Source organism: Homo sapiens, chromosome 13, assembly GCF_000001405.40.
Source record: "Homo sapiens chromosome 13, GRCh38.p14 Primary Assembly".
NCBI lineage: Eukaryota > Metazoa > Chordata > Mammalia > Primates > Hominidae > Homo > Homo sapiens.
The window spans coordinates 113,621,711-113,641,543 of NC_000013.11; the positions used below are offsets into that span (position 1 = coordinate 113,621,711).

Below are 19,833 nucleotides of genomic sequence, written 5' to 3' on the forward strand. Positions count from 1 at the left end.
GTCCGTTGCCAGGTGGACTGTGGTCTAGCGGTAGCCTCAGTGTCACGGAAAAACAGCGGCTACTTAGCAGACCGGGAAAGGGAGTTTAGAGAAGACTCTGTTCCTCCACCTCTTGTGGAGGGCCTGACATGAGTCAGGCTCGCCTGCAGTTATCTGGAGGCCTAACCGTCTCCCTGTGATGCTGTGCTTCAGTGGTCACGCTCCTAGTCCACCTTCATGTTCCATCCTGTACACCTGGCTCTGCCTTCTAGATAGCAGTAGTAAATTAGTGAAAGTACTAAAAGTCTCTGATATGCAGAAATAATGGCGTAAGCTGTCTTTCTCTTTGCCTCCTCTCTCTCTCTGCCTCGGCTGCCAGGCAGGGAAGGGCCCCCTGTCCAGTGGACGCGTGACCCACATGGCCTTACCTGTGATTGGAGATGGCTTACTCTCCTTATCTTTCCCTTTTGTCTTGTATCCAATAAATATCAGTGCAGCCTGGCATTCGGGGCCACTACCGGTCTCTGCGACTTGGTGGTAGTGGTCCCCCGGGCCCAGCTGCCTTTTCTTTTATCTCTTTGTCTTGTGTCTTTACTTCTACACTCTCTCGTCTCCGCACACGGGGAGAAACCCACCGACCCTGTGGGGCCGGTCCCTACAGTGGGGCACTGCGAGCCCCTTGCTGCCTCTGTGTGGCCGCCCACCCTTCCAGTGTTGCCCTGACGCCCCTCCCGGGCTGTGCTGACCACCCAGGCCTCCCAACTTGTTTCCCAGGGTGCTCGCTACCACCTGGTTTACGGTTTCTTTGTTTAGTTCTCTCTGCCCGCTGATGCCAGTTTTTGAACTTTATCATTACTACTTCTGTTTATGTGTAAATGTTCCAGGACTTTTATCCACCGCCCTGTCCCTAGGACCTTTTGCATACCGCTGTTGGAAGACAGAGGCTTCACATCTCCTGCAGAGGGGTCTCCCGCTTGCTTCACCAGTGTTCTGAGGGCACCTGCATGTTTAGAGCCGCAGCCTCTGTGGAAGGCACACTCCTTCCTAGGAACAAATGTGGTTCTCCTTCCTAAGGAAAAGTGGATTATCAGATTTCCAAACTAGTTTTGCAGCCTTATAGAGAAATGTTGCGATAAAAATTCTAGTTTTAAAATTCTGTTCCATAATTGTCATAGAATCACAGACTTTTCCAGGCCGTGGTCCCCACCAGCACGTTCCATAGCAGACATCGCCGAGGGGCTGGAGCAGTGGATGATCTGCCTGGGTCACCTGGGTGGCGTCAGCGCGGCCCTGCGGCCCTCCCCTTACGGGTTTACATTGGGAATCAAGCTTCATGGAGGTGTTGCTCTTGAGCCCTGGATTTGAGACAGTACACGTGGGGAAAGCTAAGCATCTCTAATTGCAAGCACCGTCTTGCATTTAGAATGGTCGCTTGTAGCCTTAACTTAGAAAAGGAGTCTCGCCCTTGACCTGGTGTCCTTGTGTTGCAGGCGTGGTGTCCCTCGTGGCCGTTCACCCCTCCACCGTCAACCCGCTCGGGAAGCAGCTCTTGCCAAAAACCTTTGGACAGTCCAATGTCAACATTGCCCAGCAAGTGGTAAGCCTCCCGCAGGAGCGGACAGCCGGGATCTCGGTGTGAGGTCGGGATCGGATGAGCCGTGTGGTTGGGGATGTTCCCAGGTGTGCCTGGATTTGGGCTCCAGTTGCAGCATGGGGCCTTTCCCTCATCAGGGAGCCCGTGGCCAGTGCTAGATTTTCCATAGCCCTCTGCAGCTGCCCACGTGTTGTTGTGGGAGAGGTGATGGCGCCCACAGCACTCCTGTGTGCCCCAGCCCATGCCATCCTTCCAGTAACTGGAGGGTGGTGGGTGGGGCCGCGGCCCCAACCAGAGGCAGCTTCCTTTTAGTGTCAGAGCTCGAAGCTCTTCATCTAACAGGGGCTTCTTACGTGATGTGGCCGAGCGTTGGCTGTGGCCCTCCTGGAGACATCAGGCTGGGAAGCCAGAGAGGGATAGGGCCCTGGCCGTGGCTGTGCGTTTGCCCCGGGGCAGTGACAGGGCAGATGCTGCTCCCTTGGCCACGCACAGGAGAGGGGAAGGTGGGCATTGGGAAGTGGCGCATCCCCCCTCCCCAGGCTGATGCTGGCCAACTGATGCTGCTTCTCATAATGCTGTTTCCTGTCTCGTGTCCGCCCTCTGCGTCCTTGCCGGTGGCAGCCTACTGGAGACAGGGAGCCCACACAGAATCCTGACCTCACCAGAAATGGGGCCCCAGGCACTTGGTGGGCAGGTTTGGCTGTGACTGGAGCTGGTGGTGAGGGACATAGCCATCCCAAGGCTAGGCCGGGCTTCCAGTCCTTCCTCAGGGACTTGTTTATGGTGCCTGAGGGCTCCTTCCTGGTCCTGAGATGATGCTGTGGCCCCGCCTGGGCAGCTGCCCCAGCCCTGTTCCTGCCAACCCTGGGCTTTGGTGATGCAGCACCTCTTGCACCCCGGCCTCCTGGCCCACTCCACCCCCTCACCCTGCTCCGTCTGTGCTGTGGCCCAGTCCTCTTAAAAGGATTGAACACCTCCGGGTGGGATGAGAACCTGTCCGTTCACTGTCACCAGGTGTCTCTCAGGCATACCCAGGTGTCCTCACGTGTCTCTCGGGTGTCCTCAGGTGTCTCCCAGGCATCCTCACGTGTCCCCAGGTGTCCCCAAGTATCTCTCAGGCATCCCCAGGTGTCCTCACGTGTCTCTCAGGTGTCCTCAGGTATCTCTCACATGTCCCCACGTGTCTCTCAGGGTGTCTCTCAGGTGTCCTCAGGTGTCTCTCAGGGTGTCTCTCACGTGTCCTCAGGTGTCTCTCAGGGTATCTCTCACGTGTCCTCAGGTGTCTCTCAGGGTATCTCTCACATGTCCTCAGGTGTGTCTCAGGGTATCTCTCACATGTCTTCAGGTGTCTCTCAGGGTGTCTCTCACATGTCCTCAGGTGTCTCTCAGGGTATCTCTCACATGTCCTCAGGTGTCTCTCAGGGTATCTCTCACATGTCCTCACGTGTCTCTCAGGTGTCTCTCAGGATATCTCTCACATGTCCTCAGGTGTCTCTCAGGGTATCTCTCACATGTCCTCAGGTGTTTCTCAGGTGTCTCTCACGTGTCCTCAGGTGTTTCTCAGGTGTCTCTCACGTGTCCTCAGGTGTTTCTCAGGTGTCTCTCACGTGTCCTCCGGTGTCTCTCACTTGTCCTCAGGTGTTTCTCAGGTGTCTCTCACATGTCCCCAGGTGTCTCTCAGGGTATCTCTCACATGTCCTCAGGTGTCTCTCACGTGTCCTCAGGTGTCTCTCACGTGTCCTCAGGTGTTTCTCAGGTGTCTCTCACGTGTCCTCAGGTGTCTCTCACGTGTCCTCAGGTGTCTCTCACGTGTCCTCAGGTGTCTCTCACGTGTCCTCAGGTGTCTCTCAGGTGTCTCTCACGTGTCCTCAGGTGTCTCTCAGGTGTCTCTCACGTGTCCTCAGGTGTCTCTCACTTGTCCTCAGCTGTTTCTCAGGTGTCTCTCACATGTCCCCAGGTGTCTCTCAGGGTATCTCTCACATGTCCTCAGGTGTCTCTCACGTGTCCTCAGGTGTCTCTCACGTGTCCTCACGTGTTTCTCAGGCGTCTCTCACGTGTCCTCAGGCGTCTCTCACGTGTCCTCAGGCGTCTCTCACGTGTCCTCAGGCGTCTCACGTGTCCTCAGGTGTCTCTCACGTGTCCTCAGGTGTCTCTCACATGTCCTCAGGTGTCTCTCACGTGTCCTCAGGTGTTTCTCAGGTGTCTCTCACGTGTTCTCAGGTGTCTCTCACGTGTCCTCAGGTGTTTCTCAGGTGTCTCTCACGTGTCCTCAGGTGTCTCTCACGTGTCCTCAGGTGTTTCTCAGGTGTCTCTCACGTGTCTTCAGGCGTCTCTCACGTGTCCTCAGGCGTCTCTCACGTGTCCTCAGGCGTCTCTCACGTGTCCTCAGGCGTCTCTCACGTGTCCTCAGGTGTCTCTCAGGCGTCTCTCACATGTCTTCAGGCGTCTCTCACGTGTCCTCAGGCGTCTCTCACGTGTCCTCAGGCGTCTCTCACGTGTCCTCAGGCGTCTCTCACGTGTCCTCAGGTGTCTCACGCGTCCTCAGGTGTCTCACGCGTCCTCAGGTGTCTCTCACGCGTCCTCAGGTGTCTCTCACGCGTCCTCAGGTGTCTCTCACATGTCCTCAGGTGTCTCTCACGTGTCCTCAGGTGTTTCTCAGGCGTCTCTCACGTGTCCTCAGGCGTCTCTCACGTGTCCTCAGGTGTCTCTCACGTGTCCTCAGGTGTCTCTCACGTGTCCTCAGGTGTCTCTCACGCGTCCTCAGGTGTCTCTCACATGTCCTCAGGTGTCTCTCACGTGTCCTCAGGTGTTTCTCAGGTGTCTCTCACGTGTCCTCAGGTGTCTCTCACGTGTCCTCAGGTGTCTCTCAGGTGTCCCCAGGTGTCTCTCATGGATCCCCAGGCATCCTCAGGTGTCCCTGGCCCTGTGGAGAGCTCTCTGTACTGAGCTGTTTTTTGTTGTCTAGGGCATCTCCCTTTGGTCTAATCATGTTTTCTTCAGAGAACATGACCACATACCAGGGATATTTTGGTCATTTTTGCACTTTAGTCTTTATTTTATATGCATTCCTGCTATTTCCGTTTATTTAAATATGCTTGAAATTCTCTGGATTCTTTAACAGATGTTAGGATATGAGTTTTAAGAGAGAGTGGCTTGTGGGTCACAGCCTTGAGGATCTGAGCAGGATTGCCTTCCCCGCGCTCCCTTCCCCGCGTCCCACTTCCCTGCGCCCCGCTTCCCCGCAGCCCCCCTCCCCGTGTGTGCTCCCACACAGCTGTCCTGATTGAGCGGTTCCAGATCCCAGGCAGCTTTTGTGGCCCCGTTTCCTGCCTGTGGAAGGTGACAAAAAACTTGCTCTGCAGAAGTTTTGTGGCCATTGAAAGTAGCGGTTTGTGGAAGCCCTACCACGTCATACGGCTTTTCAACCACGTTGCACAGCAGATCACGGCTTTTCAGTAAATGCCATTTTGATAAAAGCTAAAAATTCAGTTTTTGTTTTGCTTGATAATTAGATTATAGGTTTGCTTATAAGTTGACTAGGAATTCTAAGTTTGATTTTATAGGTGCTGTGTGTCATAGCAGAGTTTGTCTGGGTGAATAATTGTAGCACCACTTTCGTCTTTACTGCCGGTGTGAATACACTGGGGGGAAACGAATGAGAAGATTATCTTATTGATGTGCTTTAAACTTCGTCACTGAAAGTCAAGTTCCTGATTTAAATTCAGCTGTTCGGGTGGAGTTTGTCATTGCTGTTTTGTGCTTTGCAAAATCCCAGTGATGGGAATTAAAGCTGACAAAGGGCAAATGTTTCTTAAACCTTTTTATATACCAGAGGTTTACAAAAAACTGGACTGGCTCATTCTGACACGAGGGGTGGGGCTCAGTCCGGGCATGTGAGTGAAAGCGGTGGGGAGGTCCTTAGGTCTCTGACCTGCACCAGTCAGCAGGCGCAGGGCTTGTCAAGGTCAGGGTCTTTTGAGGTGCGGATGCTTGTGAAGCCTGTGGTGCTGCAGAGCTCAGCACGCGCACAGGAACGTGTGCGGGACAGAGGACATATGTGCTCAGCCGGCAGGAGCAGCGGCCTGTGTGAGCCCCTGGGGAGAAGCAGCCCCCCACCCAGGCCTGTGTCCCAGAAGTCGGCATCTGTGGTCGCAGTGGCCTTTCCTTTGCAGCTGCGCCACTGGCCCTGTCTCTCTGGACACCGCGGTTAACCTTGGTCCATCTCTAGGATTCTGTGTCTGAGTGGGGTCACACTACACGGAGACATCGTAATCTCAGTTTTTAGAGTGTGTGAAATTAAGGTGCAAAAAGTGTGCACTTAGGGCAGAAGGGATGCCTTAAATCAGGAGTCCCCAACCCCTGGGCCTGTTAGGAAGCTGGCCGCACAGCCGCCTGAGCCCTGCCTCCTGTCAGATCCCAGCATTAGGTTCTCAGGAGCGCAAACCCCACTGTGAACGGCACATGCAGGATCTAGGTGGCACTCCGTATGAGAATCGAATGCCTGATGATCTGAGGTGGGACAGTTTCTTCCCGAAACTACCCCCGACTCCGGTCTGTGGAAAAACTGTCTTCCACAAAACTGGTCCCTGATACCAAAAAGGTGGGGGATCGCTGCTTTAAACACCAAGGCTCACTGTGCAGCCAGTGAGGAGGGGAGCTCCTGGGGGAGGAGGGTTGGTCTCGGGCAAGGTGGACCTCCGGCAGGTCCTCTACTGTGGGATGCTTCCACCTGGAGCTGTTTTCTAACGACTGCTGGCGTGGAAGCTGCAAAAGCTTTAGAGTCGAAAGACTGTGTCTGAAGCCGTGTAAAGACTGTCTGGAGCCGTGTAAAGACTGTGTCTGAAGCTGTGTAAAGACTATGTCTGGAGCCGTGTAAAGACTGTGTCTGAAGCCGTGTAAAGACTGTGTCTGAAGCCGTGTAAAGACTGTCTGGAGCCGTGTAAAGACTGTCTGGAGCCGTGTAGAGACTGTGTCTGAAGCCGTGTAAAGACTGTGTCTGGAGCCGTGTAAAGACTGTGTCTGGAGCCATGTAGACTGTGTCTGAAGCCATGTCATTTACTTTCTCTGAAGCGCAGCTTGGATTCCAGCCGTGAGCACAGTAGGAAGGGAGACCCCTTATGACCTGTGGGGCCTGGGTCACCTCCCCTGCTCCCCAGCGAGAGGCGGGTGAGGGAGTCGTGAGGGCGGAGCCCATCCTCCAGAGAAGCCGCTGTTAAATCTAAGGGGTGGGTGTCCCTGGCGCCTTTCAGCCCCTGCCTGCCTCCTGCTCCCAGAGGCTCCTGGATCTCCTGGAAAGCCCTGGTTGGAGTGGGACCCACAGCCTCCCAGCTTTGGGCAGTACCCCTCATTGTGCTGTGACCACTTCTCCCTTCCAGGGTCTCTGCCCACCACTCCAGCTAGCGTGGCCACTGCTTCCAATACCTCCTTTTTTTCCCTAGGGGCCCAGCTCTGAACTATCCTTCCCGGCACTGTCCCATCCACCCTTTGGCACCTCCTTGGTTCCTGTTTTCCCTGCGCTTCTGCCCACACACGCCCTCCAGGGCTTCAGTGTGTTGCCGTGCCTCCTCTGGCTGTTGAGTGTGGCTCCTGGTGTAGGGAAGTGAGGCCGGGGGCCTGCTCCATGTCTGTTGAATGGGAGACTGGAAGGCGTCCTGTGGCACAGGCGGCCGGCCCGAGTTCACCGGCTTCCTGTGCACCAGGAAGGAAACGCACACACCTGTGCCAGGTCCGGGAGCAAAGCCTCTGTCTCGTTCCTGGGAGGGCTGGCTCCAGGCCGCCCCTGTGATGCTGACTCAGCTCACAGGGCTGGTGAGCAGCAGGTGATGGGTGAGGAGCAGGGACAGTGCTGCGGAGACACAGTGAGGGGAGCTGCCACGCAGGGCACGCAGAGGAAGGTGCAGGCACCCTTGCCCAGCACTGCATGGGCCGGATGCCGCGGGGCCTTCCGCAGGGAGCAGTTAAAGCAGGAGAGTAAGGAGAGCTTCCTGTAAGACCTGGCCTCCGTAAACAACGCATTCCCAGTGCACTGGTGGCTCGTTCTCAGGGTGCCCCTGGGTGCTGAGTCCTGTCTTCCAGGAAAGGTTGTTGGTGAGCACCATTGAGCACCTGGTGTGTACCTGCCTCTGGCTTTCTCTTCTTCCCAACTTACAGTGGGTTTGACCTGTGATTTTGACTTTAAGATGGTCCAAAAGCAACATGCATTCAGTGGAAACTGCTTCCACTGCCCATACGACCGTCCTATTTTTCATTTTGAGTGTGGTATTCAGTGGGTCTCCTGGGATACCCACACTTGACTAGAGTGGGCTTTGTGTGAGATGCTTCTGCCCGACTGGGCTAACATGCGTGATCTGAGCACGTGTAAGGTAGGCTGGCTAAGCTGTGATGTGTGGTAGGAGAGGTGGATGACGTGCATTTCGACTTAGGGTATTTTCAGCTCATGCGGGTTTATCGGGATGTTCCTTGTAAGTTCCTCGTTGTAAGTCAGTTCCTCGTTGTAAGTCCACTCTTTGTGAGTAGGTTTGCTCCTGCCTGGAGGACAGCGGCACGGTGACGGCATCTGTTTTGGGGCCAAGATCCAGTGCCTTGCGTGGTCCTGGGATTCCTGGGGAAGGGAGTGGACCCATGAGGTGGGTTAGAATCGTGTGTGGGATTCTCCAGCCCCCTGTACCTGTGCGTGTGGTATGCGCGGAGCCAGCCAGCACTGCCTGGCGTGGAGCTGGCGGGTTCTCAGTCTGACATCAACTCCCGGAGAATGGCATCTGCTGAACTCAACGTAGGAAGCCGTGCGGGGCCAGCGCGCTCTCAGGCAGCCTGAGTGGCAGGGTCCTTTTGTCAGCTGTTTGGATCTCCCACGTGGCCCAGTGCCCCAGCAGCACACACACACACACACACACACACACGCGTATTGAACAAAACAAGTTTCACAGGACATTTATCCACGCCCAGGAGATTTATCTTTTGTATGGCTTCATTTTGCAGAAAATTCACTTGTTTGATTTCATGGCCTGGTGATCCACAGAAGGCCGCACTCTGATGAGTCTCTGATCATCGGAGAGATGAGTGTCAATGAAAAGATCAGTCCTTGAAATGTTTTTCTTCTCCGGAGCTGACAGGTGATCTGGCCTAGGGATAATTGGAAAGTGTCCCCGTCAGCTGCTCCCAGGGCCACCGCAGGTGATGCATTTATCCCCGTAAGAAGGGGAGCTGGGGGGGCCCAGCTTAGAGTAGCTCAGGGCATCGGCCACATGAAGCCCCCCCGCCAGCATACAGGTGTCCAGCTCCAATCCCTTTAACGGAAACTGCATGTCCATACAAGCAGTATAATCGCTGAGGCACTTTGATTTGTGGTGAATTGAATGATTTAACATTTACTGAGAAATAGTGTTTCCAGTTTAGATAGAGTCGTGCCACAAGATCTTTGAAAAGTCAGAGTTGTATTTGCCTGTATGAGGGTGTCCAGGTATTCACACTCGAACATTCATTGTTGGAACTAAAGTGGTAAGACCTTGTCAAGAGTCAGACCAGCCAGCATGTCCCTGAAGGGAGAGACAGTTGTTGACACCCTCAGGTGTGCTGTGGGGTGGGGCGGGTGGGTCAGTGTCCACACTGGCGTTGCCTCTGGTGGTTCCCCCCAGAGGGGCCCAGGTGTGTGAGCCCCAGGGGCGTGTGGAGCCCCTACCTTCCGCCCCCAGTGCTGGTGGCCCTCCCTCCTTGCCTGACGCCGTTGTGGGTGCAGGGGTTCCCCCAGACAGGGCCCCAGGGCACAGGGTTACCAGGTGATGGCTGTCACCCTGCTGGGCTGGAGGAGCAGCTGCTGTCACCCTGCCTGTGCTTTTGTCTTTTGAGAGCTGTTTTTGGTTTGTTTCAGGCCTCTTTTTAGTACCACAGAAGGATACAATTTCATCCTCATCCATATCACTAAAAGGAAGTAAAAGGGTGAAGGGAAAAATGGAAGCGTGCTCAAGTGCCCTGTGTGGAATTCTGTGCCGCCCCCTTCATTAAACTTGACCGTTAGCGCCTTGTGTGCGGTTTGGGGGTCACGCTCTGCCCTGTCCTGTTCTTGCTTGCTTGGGTCGTCCGAAGTTTCTTGTTGCTTTTGTCTAATTGGAGAAGATGCCTGTGACTGACAAGAGGAAGATGAGCCACATTCAGAACCGGTGGGGTGATGCCGTCACCGTGACAAAAGCGTCCACCGCTGGACGTTTTTCCTGCTCCGTCATGGCTGCTCACTGTGGTTAAGGAAATTCAGCAGTGGCTGCGGATAGCGAACAGATGGTGGGCATGGCACCCTCGCCGTGTGGGAGGGGACTGACTGTCTGAATTGTCTTTTTCGACTGTAGGTAATTGGTACGCCTCAGAGACCGGCAGCGTCAAACACCCTGGTGGTAGGAAGCCCACACACCCCCAGCACTCACTTTGCCTCTCAGAACCAGCCTTCCGACTCCTCACCTTGGTCTGCCGGGTGAGCACTTCCCTCTGGACCCTTAGAGTTGTAGGACTGCTTGCGGTTCGCACCTCCACGTTCTCCTGGGCCACGTGTGTCACACAGTCGTGCGATGGGGCTCCCACGCGCGTTGACGCCAGCCTCCGAATCACACTCACCCATCATCGTGGCCTGCACAGGTGTGCAGCCGAGGCGCACTGCCTCGGTCATGGAGAAGTCGGGCTGGGCACCGCCCACCCCGCTTTGTGTCTGGTGTAGTGGGTGCTCTCTGAAGGGCTGGCAGCTCTTGGCCAAGACGGGGAGAAGCTGGCCTCGTACTCGCCACAGGACCTCGGAGACTTTCCCTCGTCTGTGCTGGGAGCATGTGGGATGGATTTCACCCACTGCCCCTGAATTCAGCCTCTACTGCCCCTGGGGTTACGGCCCCCGCGGGTGGTCCCGCCAGAGCTGCTCCTTCCACTAAAGCAAGATCTGATGAGCTGTGTCTTTCCTTAAAAACACACACACGCAAAGCTGCAAAAGCCTGCCTGTGTTGGTGCCCAAAGCTTCACCAGCTAGGAACCTCAGGTGGCCTTTCCCGCCATGTGGGGACTGACCAGAGTGTACAGAGTTGGGCTTTCCCTCGACCTGAAGCACACTTAGTGCTTTGCACCTGTTGTCAAGCGGCTGTCACAGCCCAAGCTGTATGAAATTACAGCCTGCTGAAATTAGTCCTAAGAATTCCCAAATTTACACTGAAACGTCCCATAGTTCCTGATTCTGGCTGCCCTCTTTAGAAAAGTGGTGCTTGGGGCTCACGCCTGTAATCCTAGAGGCCGAGGCCAGCAGATCACGAGTTCAAGAGATTGAGACCATCCTGGCCAACGTGGTGCAACCCCGTCTCTATTAAAAATACAAAAAAATTAGCCAGATGTGGTGGCACGTGCCTGTAATCCCAGCTACTCGGGAGGCTGAGGCAGGAGAATCGCTTGAACCCAGGAGGTGGAGGTTGCAGTGAGCCGAGATGGCGCCACCGCACTCCAGCCCACGACAGAGCGAGACTCCGTCTCAAAAAAGAAAAAACAACAACAAAAAGAAAAGTGGTGCTTGGTGTACCGGCACATCTCCCATATGCTGATTTGGGTCCTGGGGACGCCTCCCGTTTTCCCTGACGCTTGGAAGGTTAGAGGTGCAGCCTGCTGGGGAGACACTCGCTTTCTGACCTGCAGGACCACTGGGCCTGGGGGCTGGGGCTAGGGGGTCCTGGCCTGCTCACGTGTTGGATCTGCTGCGCCCGTGGGACGTGGCCCCTTTTTGTGCAGCTCATTAGAGCTCTCAGGTAAAAGCATTCCTCGATTCAGGCTGATCCTCAGGAGGGCTGACAGTCGCTTCTCTTTTCCTTTGTATTTTGAAGGAAGCGCAACAGGAAAGGAGAGAAGAATGGCAAGGGCCTACGGCATTTCTCCATGAAGGTCTGCGAGAAGGTGCAGAGGAAAGGGACCACTTCCTACAACGAAGTGGCAGACGAGCTGGTTGCGGAGTTCAGTGCTGCCGACAACCACATCTTACCAAACGAGTCAGTAAGTGTGTGCCGGGGGCCGAGAGGCTGGGGTGGCGGAGCCCAGCGGTGTGGTACGTTTCGCTCTTTTAATATCGGGAACAGTTAAAACCATACAGAAAATGCCAAGTACAGCATAAAAGAATTTTTACCAAACGAGTCAGTAAGTGTGTGCCGGGGCCGAGAGGCTGGGGTGGCGGAGCCCAGCGGTGTGGTACGTTTCGCTCTTTTAATATCGGGAACAGTTAAAACCATACAGAAAATGCCAAGTACAGCATAAAAGAATTTTTCCGATCCATTTGCTGGCACGATGCTTTGTCAACTCCAGTGAGTGAGCACGTGGGCTGGCTCTGCACGTCTAGCGGCCCAGAAATGCACAAATGCCCACCTCACCAGCTGGGCTCGACACCCGAGAGCCCCCGGCTCTCCTTCTGGAACACACTCAGGCTTCGCACAGCCCCGTCTTGCCCTGCGTCATCTGTGGGGTGGGAGCGCTCCCTGAGGGCATGTTGGGGTGGCGGCTCCGTGAGCGGGGTGCCCCTTTGAGCCAGTGCCCATGGTCTACAGTTTAAGGATCCACCGGCCTTTTTGGATCATTTGGAAACTCCACTCCCTGTCATCCCCAGGCTTATGACCAGAAAAACATAAGACGGCGCGTCTACGATGCCTTAAACGTGCTAATGGCCATGAACATCATCTCCAAGGAGAAGAAGGAGATCAAGTGGATTGGTCTGCCCACCAACTCGGCTCAGGAATGTCAGAACTTAGAGGTGCCCCTTCAGCCTTCCTTCAACCTTGATTTCCCTTCAAGTCCGTGTAGATGTTTTAGTCGTCGGTCACTCAGAAGGGTCTGGGCTCCGTGCCCTTATGCTCTCTGTGTCCGGCTGGCAGACGGTCATGCAGACGTCTCCCTGCGTTTCTCAGTCTTGGCTGTCAGGGGAGGGAGCATGGTTGGCCCAGACCCACTAGAGTCTGTTAAACTCTAGTGTAGGTTAATTCTGAATCCTAGTTTGTGGGATTTTTGTTTTCTTTTTAGATACCATAGTTAAATCCAAGAAATGAGAGGAAAGGGGAGAAGGTATAGTTTAGAAATGGAAAAAAAACTCACCTATATCTTGTAGCACCTGCTATGTCTAGATTTGTCCATATCCCTTCGATTACATTCTGGGTAAACATAGGTAACACTGTGAGGATGTGAGGATGTGGGTTTTAAAAAACGCTCTGTGGAACAGTTGTGATGATTCTTCACATGGGTGGTTTGTTTTTGAAGGTGGAAAGACAGAGGAGACTTGAAAGAATAAAACAGAAACAGTCTCAACTTCAAGAACTTATTCTACAGGTAAGAGAATACGTATCTGTGGAGGCAGGGTAATTTTTATTTTACTAATTTAGCTTTATAACGGCAACATACTGCCTTGGGTTACACTCCTGCATGGCAAATCAAATGACTGCTCTAAGATTCTGAGTGTGAGTTCATCTCATAGGTGTTGAACGTGGGCCTTATTCCCAGAGCGAGGTTGTGCACGTGCGTGTGCATGCATGTGTGTGTGCGTGCATGCATGCATGTGTGTGTGTGTGCATGTGCCTGTGTGCGTGCGTGCGTGTGCCTGTGTGCGTGTGCATGTGTGTGCGTGCATGTGCCTGTGTGCGTGTGTGTGTGTGCATGTGTGCATACATGTGTATGTGTGTATCTCTCGTCACAGCATCTAAATAGGCAAAAGACAGATGGAGGGATGACTTCATGCAAAAGCAACATTTGAAAAATCTCCTCAGAGGTGCTTAACCCAAGGCCCAGGTGCCAGGCAAGGCCTGTAAAACTGTGGTGGACACAGTGCACCTGGGTCTTGACAGTGCTGATCAGGGCCCTGGAGCTGGCCTTCCCCACCTCCCATTGAGTGCTGAGGGTGGGCGGCACCACTGGGGGCCCCGTGTCTGGTGTGGAGGGGGTTGTGTGCAAGGTGCTCACTGCAGAGCTGGCTGCTGCCCTGACCAAGGTGTGCTCGAGCCCTCCCAGAGGGGACGGTGTGGCAGCCGTGGTGATGGAGGCTCGTGGGCAGGAGCTCCTCAGGACCCACAGAGTGTCAGGAGGGACAGTCCTGGTTGCCAGTGCCTTAGGACCTGCCAGGTGGGGATAGACCCAGGGTGGCCGGGAGAGGAAGGGAATCTCCTGGCTCTACATTAATAGCAAAGAAGGTCTCTCCAAGTGGAACACTTGGTTTGGGGCCCTGAGGCCCTGGCCCTGGATTCAGCCTTGCAGGGCCTATTCCCCCAGAGGAGCACCCCTGCAGCACATGGGCCCTTCTGCGTTCCACTTTCCAGGGTGGGCAAAGTCCACGGCACGGCACCCCCTCCAAGGCCATCACCCTGTAGGTGCCATGGTGGTAGGTGGTCTTAGAGGGGTGAAGGACAGCAAGGAATCGACTTCCAAAATTGGTGTTTTGTTGAGCGCCGTTGCCGTGGAGGACACTTTTATCAGGGCACGGATGGCTGTGCGCCCGCTTTCCCTTAGTTCTCCCCTCAGGATCCCGTTTCCTGAGCGCTTTTCTCCCTGGGCTGCAGAGGTCAGCACCCAGCGGCCGGCGCTGGCATTTCAGATGTCCAGGCCAACTCCTCGCTGTCACGTGGACGCAGGGAGGGCTGTGAGGACCCCTCGAGCACAGGGGCTGCGTTCTTGTGCCGCCACGGGCCACCTGGCTCCTCTTATTTTTTTTAGCAAATTGCCTTCAAGAACCTGGTGCAGAGAAACCGGCATGCGGAGCAGCAGGCCAGCCGGCCACCGCCACCCAACTCAGTCATCCACCTGCCCTTCATCATCGTCAACACCAGCAAGAAGACGGTCATCGACTGCAGCATCTCCAATGACAAGTAGGTTGTGGGCGGGGAGCTGTTCCCTGGTCACCCATCTCTTTTTTAGGGAGCCGACCCTGTTGGTATTGTCACTAGGACAAGTTTTAAATGTTGTACAAATAGCAAATGTTGCACAAATTGCTGTCCATTGGGGGGTGGTGGGAGGCTGCCGCCATGTGGCAGATGGAAGGTCTCTGTTCCGGGAGCGTGTGCCTTAGGGCATGTCCTCCTGGGGAGAATAGGCCTCGATTTGCCTCTCATCTCATTTACTTCAGAGTTTATAAATTCTGTGAGGAGACACTGATGACTGGGAACCGGGAAGCTGTGTGTGGCGGTCAGCGGGTCAGCCGTCCTGGCTCCACCCCAGTGTGTACCGTCTCCGCTGGGAGACCCTGTCTTTCTGACTGTGCCTTTCCCCTTCAGATTTGAGTATCTGTTTAATTTTGACAACACATTTGAAATCCACGATGACATAGAAGTGCTGAAGCGGATGGGCATGGCTTGCGGGCTGGAGTCGGGGAGCTGCTCTGCCGAAGACCTTAAAATGGCCAGAAGTCTGGTCCCCAAGGCTCTGGAGCCATACGTGACAGGTCAGCAATGCCCAGACAACCTGGCGTGGCTGTGTGAGGAATGGCCCCCAGCCTCCGACGGTGCCCTCCCCTCCCGGCTCGGGATGTGTCTTGCTGAGATCAGGCCCACGTGTGTAGGGCCAGGAGCAAAGACAAAGGGGCTGTGAGGGGGATGAGGGCAGGGGTGTGGCTGGGGTGGGGTCCAGCCAGTGCCGTGACCCACTGGATATGGGGGCCTTGAGTCCACAGGTGGCTCGTGTGGATTTCCTATGTGGTTTGTGTGAGGAGGTGCTAAGTCAGGATTTTACCCTCCAAGTAGGCCCAGAAGTAGAAGTTGAGATTCTTTGAGAAGTGCAGTTGGATTGCTGATCCCACCCACTGATGGTAGCTGATTGGTCACTAGGGCAAAGTCACCAAGAAAAAGCATTTCAGAGTCATTGGCGTCCTGCTCCGGAGGGCCGGGAGCACAGGAGCTTTTGTTGAAGGAGCTTTTTTTCTGTTCTGGTGAATTCTTTCCTTGGGGGCCGTAGGGTCCCAGCCACTGACAGCAGGATGGCTTTAAGGTGAGAAATTGTGAAGGTGTCATATCTGCTGATCCTTCTCTTGTTAGCCTAAACTTGGGGTGTAGATTTATTCCCTGAGAGGGTCAGAGATTCCTCCCTGAGCTCTTAGACTGCCCCAGATCTTGTGAAAATCTGGCTGGTCCATGTTGTCAGGTGACAGTGGGCTCTGGCCGCCCACGTGGGCTGGGCCCTGACCCCGGCCTCTGTCCCGTGCTTCATGGAGCTGCCAGGATGGGCTGTGGGAAGAGGGTTTCAGCTTGACACTTTGATTCGGTTCCGTTTCACGATGGGTATGATACTGAGGCAGCAGCACACGTGTGCCGTTTGTAAGTCAGTGTGTGCAGGTATTTATTGCAAGGCTGTTCTTGCCTTTTTAGAGAAGACAGGCTTATGTGACTGCACAGCGGGATGTCCTGCTCCGTGGCGCAGTGTGGAAAATACTGGACAAGCGAAGGATATCCGGAAGCTTCTACAGCCGTCTGTCCTGTGGAACTGCGCGTCATTTTGTTGGTTGCCTGTGCGTCTTGTGTTGTTTCTGTTTCATGACCATTCGCTTATTTTCTTTCCCTTTTCAGAAATGGCTCAGGGAACTGTTGGAGGCGTGTTCATCACGACGGCAGGTTCCACGTCTAACGGCACAAGGTTCTCTGCCAGGTGACAGTCGTTGAGGGTGTGGGAGAGGCGTCATCTGGGCCTCCCCCGGGGTCCAGGGGCCAAGGCAGGGCAGCCGTCTCAGGTGTGGCCATCAGGTCTGTGGCTGCTCTGACGTGGCTTGTCTGTCCAGGCAGTGGGGCCCCGCTGGCTTTCCCTGTGTGGAGAGCTGCTTTTCTTAGTTGGTTTCTGCTCACTAAAAACTGAAAGTAATACATGGTGGTTTTTTTTTCATAGTATCACCTAATAAGTAAAGTAGGAATGAAAACCACCCAAATCCTCCTGTCCCCGGCAGCCCAAGTAACAGCAAGTATTTCCAGGTTTTTTTTCCCATTTTTCAGAACGCGTCTGCGGTCACAGCGCACGTATTTTTCAGAACGCGTCTGCGGTCTGGGCGCAAGTAGTTTTCAGAACGTGTCTGCGATCACAGCACACATTTTTCAGAACGCATCTGCGGTCATGGTGCATGTGTTTTTCAGAATGCATCTATGGTCATAGCGCATGTATTTTTCAGAACGTCTGCCATCACGGCGCACGTGTTTTTCAGAACGCGTCTGCGGTCTCGGCGCACGTGCTGCGATCACAGTGCATGTATTTTTGCGAACGCGTCTGTGATTATGGTACACGTATTTTTCAGAACGCGTCTGCAATCACAGCGCACGTATTTTTCAGAACGCGTCTGTGGTCACAGCACACATATTTTGTTCCGTGCATTTTTCAGCTTACATTTTATTGTATGAATATATATTGTTTCTATGCTATTAAAGGGCCTTTATTTAAATAAATTTGTATTTAATCTTTGACCTGCAATCCCACAGAGTAGAATGGTGTCCCTAGGTATTGATCTTAGTGCTTCAAAGATAAATATAACTTTTATGGTAAATATTAACAAAACAATGATTTTATTAACTTTTATATTGCATTGTGATACAATATATAGTATTACTTTATATTAATCTTAAGTGTTAATAAAATCTTTAATTAGAAATACAAGAACTCAGTAACCTATGGGTCCGGGTAACAGGGCTCGACATAGTGAGTTTCAGTGTGCTTGAGCCTGCGTTGGGATGTGCTGTGGCCATGAGATGTAACAGGTGTGTCGGGCACGTGTAGCTTCCTGGCCAGCTCTGGAAGTGCAAAGCCAGCCTTGGCCTCCTCACCTGTAAGGTGAGACTGGTGATTGATGAGTTACTGATCTGTGGCAAGGATCAGTGAGGTGGTGATGGAAGAAAGGACTTTGGTGACAAGCTTTTGACAGAGGCCGGTTCTCCTTCTGTTGTAGCTATGTGTGAACGTGTGGCGGTCAGTCTGTAAACATGTTTAATGCTGCTTCTTCCATGAGGTGGGATGTGGGTATTTTTAGGACTTTTATCATCACATAATCCTTTTTATGGATGTGATTCTTCAGACTTGTCAGTTTTTCATAACAATGGAAACAAAGCTATTACCATTTCTTACGAAATACCGATTTTCATAGTGGCATGATGAGACATTTTATACAAGTACCTCATGAAAGGACATCTAGGTAGTTCCCAGTTAGAATAAAAACTGCAGTGAGCAGCTTTACAGCTGAATTTCTCGCCATTTCTGACTTGTTTCCAAGATACAGAATTACTTCATCAAAAGGCACATTAACACATTTTTATTGTAGTGTTAATAAATACCATTAAAATGTATTAAAATATGTACATATGGTTTTATGTTAATTGAAAACATCTTTAAACATTAGGAACGTAGTGAGCTCTGGTTGGTGGTAGGTTTTTGTGGTGCTGCCAGCCCTCTGGGTTCTCAGTCCCCGCTGCCAGATTCGACCCACGCTCTGGACTCCATCCTGTCCTGCCCCGGGCTCTCTTTTTTCCTGTTGCTGGTTATGAGTGAAAGTCCCGGAGGGAGGGATCTAATGGTTTTACAGTTTGTTCCCTCTGGGGCACTGCTCCTGATGGAATGATGAGTGAGGGAGAGGCAGCGTGTGGCTCTGCTCAGCCTCCTGTTTCTGTCGTTATGGGTTCCAGGAGACAGGGCCAGAAGAGAACCAGACAGAGATGGAGTAAGTGCCAGAGCGTTGGCGTGCTGTAGTGCAGACACTCAGCCTCCCCGTTCTGTTTGTGTGACTGACAAAACCCACACCTGTGGGGCACAGCCTGTCATTTGACCACAAGCCCTGAGGCGGGGGGAGGCTGGGTGGGCCGCCTGCACTGACGGCGCCATCCGCCTCCTGCCTTGCAGTGACCTGACCAACGGTGCAGATGGGATGCTGGCCACAAGCTCCAATGGGTCTCAGTACAGCGGCTCCAGGGTGGAGACTCCGGTGTCCTACGTCGGGGAGGACGACGAGGAGGACGATGACTTCAACGAGAATGACGAGGACGACTGACGTCCTCCCCACTTCAGATTCGGCTTCAGGAAAACGTTTAGCGAAAAGAAACTTTTTTTTTAATGTGGGTTTTCTGTTTCCTTTTGGCCTACTCCCAAGAAGATATTGGTAAGCTATTGAATTTAGATATGCACCTCTGATAAGCAAGGATTGTTTCCCGTAGGATTAGGACGTGCTGTGGATGTGTGTTTTGATACCAGTGTGCTGATGCAGAGCGTTTATTTACTTGTTAGGATTTTGTGTTTTCATTTGCTATTTTTCTTTAAGTGCAGAGTTCATTTTTGCCCCTGAAAAGTTTTTGCTGAGTTTGCTGAAGAAATTGTATTTCAACCACATCCATGAAAATAAAACACCTCCTGTTGTGGATGGTGAGCCCCTGATGCCGCTTATTTGCCGTGAGTTTGGACGGCACCCCTGCTGGCGGATAGCAAGACTCTGTGGAGTTTGTTCAGTGGTACGGTGTCCAAGCAAACAGCAGAATGCAACTTTCTAAACAGCCCCAAGCAAACAGCAGAATTCAACTTTTTAAACAATAAACACCATCAACCTTATTGACTTTATTGTCCCTTAAATTATATTGACTGTTGTGATTCCATCAAGTTTGTACACTCTTTTCTCTCCCTGTTTTGCAGCAACAAATTGCGAAGTGCTTTTGTTTGTTTGTTTTCGTTTGGTTAAAGCTTATTGCCATGCTGGTGCGGCTATGGAGACTGTCTGGAAGGCTTGGAATGGTTTATTGCTTATGGTAAAATTTGCCTGATTTCTTACAGGCAGCGTTTGGAAACCTTTTATTATATAGTTGTTTACATACTTATAAGTCTATCATTTAAAGACATGTACTGAAACAAATGTATTTGTTTCATAAGCATCTTCCTGTAATCTATTATAAAATTGAAATTAAATATAGAGAATGTTTTAACAATTTTTTAACTCAAAATTTGTCAATCATTTTTAATAGTTCTTTTTTTATAAAAAGAAAAAGGAATTTAAGGACAGGCAGTAGTCTCTTTTAAAATTTATTCACAAAACCCATTAACTGCACAGTTGCTATTAGCTGCCTGTTCTAAAACGATAGTCTTTTTATTGAAACACAAATAAACTTTTCTGTAATATTTTATGGTATATAAAGAGACTTTAATTGTTTGACTTGTTTAACTTGGCACTGTTAGTTTTTATTAATAAAACGCGCATGGGCATTTTAAACAAGCTGTGTTTCTCTAATTCAGGATTATTATCTAGAAATTTGTCTGTCTTGTTGGTTTTACTTTATACTTGA

The 19,833-nt window shown here is 52.4% G+C and overlaps 2 protein-coding genes across 29 annotated transcripts in view, besides 2 other annotated features; both read left to right on the forward strand.

Moving 5' to 3' along the window:
- TFDP1 (transcription factor Dp-1) overlaps positions 1–19,763 on the forward strand; it is a 56,786-nt gene extending 37,023 nt beyond the window's left edge. For 6 of the 28 annotated variants that reach the window (XM_017020717.2, XM_047430554.1, XM_047430558.1 and 3 more), the window contains exons 4-12: positions 1,470–1,576; positions 9,913–10,034; positions 11,410–11,575; positions 12,180–12,323; positions 12,824–12,892; positions 14,267–14,418; positions 14,824–14,990; positions 15,910–16,186; positions 18,410–19,763. In XM_017020717.2, coding sequence (XP_016876206.1) covers positions 1,470–1,576; positions 9,913–10,034; positions 11,410–11,575; positions 12,180–12,323; positions 12,824–12,892; positions 14,267–14,418; positions 14,824–14,990; positions 15,910–16,186; positions 18,410–18,557 — 1,352 coding nt within the window. In that variant the 3' untranslated portion in view covers positions 18,558–19,763. Of the gene's footprint in view, positions 1–1,469; positions 1,577–9,912; positions 10,035–11,409; positions 11,576–12,179; positions 12,324–12,823; positions 12,893–14,266; positions 14,419–14,823; positions 14,991–15,909; positions 16,187–18,409 lie in introns of those variants that run through there. The other 22 variants (XM_005268327.2, XM_047430562.1, XM_047430566.1 and 19 more) reach the window with 8 other exon arrangements.
- On the forward strand, positions 1,583–9,592 carry LOC124903219 (uncharacterized). Its single transcript, XM_047430839.1, has 2 exons — positions 1,583–3,297; positions 3,794–9,592. Exons 1-2 carry the CDS (start codon positions 3,052–3,054, stop codon positions 4,517–4,519), a joined length of 972 nt encoding a protein of 323 aa, XP_047286795.1. The 5' UTR covers positions 1,583–3,051; the 3' UTR covers positions 4,520–9,592.
- Positions 3,149–4,348: an enhancer, noted in NCBI's record as "P300/CBP strongly-dependent group 1 enhancer chr13:114279174-114280373 (GRCh37/hg19 assembly coordinates)". NCBI's record gives its function as "activates an origin of replication core promoter dependent on BRD2, BRD4, P300/CBP, MED14 and CDK7 cofactors, with strong dependence on P300/CBP, by STARR-seq in HCT116 cells {active_cell/tissue: HCT116}" and the evidence as "EXISTENCE:reporter gene assay evidence [ECO:0000049][PMID:35650434]".
- Positions 3,489–4,109: an enhancer, noted in NCBI's record as "H3K27ac-H3K4me1 hESC enhancer chr13:114279514-114280134 (GRCh37/hg19 assembly coordinates)". NCBI's record gives its function as "activates a minimal SCP1, AML or CMV promoter by ChIP-STARR-seq in naive H9 embryonic stem cells {active_cell/tissue: H9 hESC(naive)}" and the evidence as "EXISTENCE:reporter gene assay evidence [ECO:0000049][PMID:30033119]".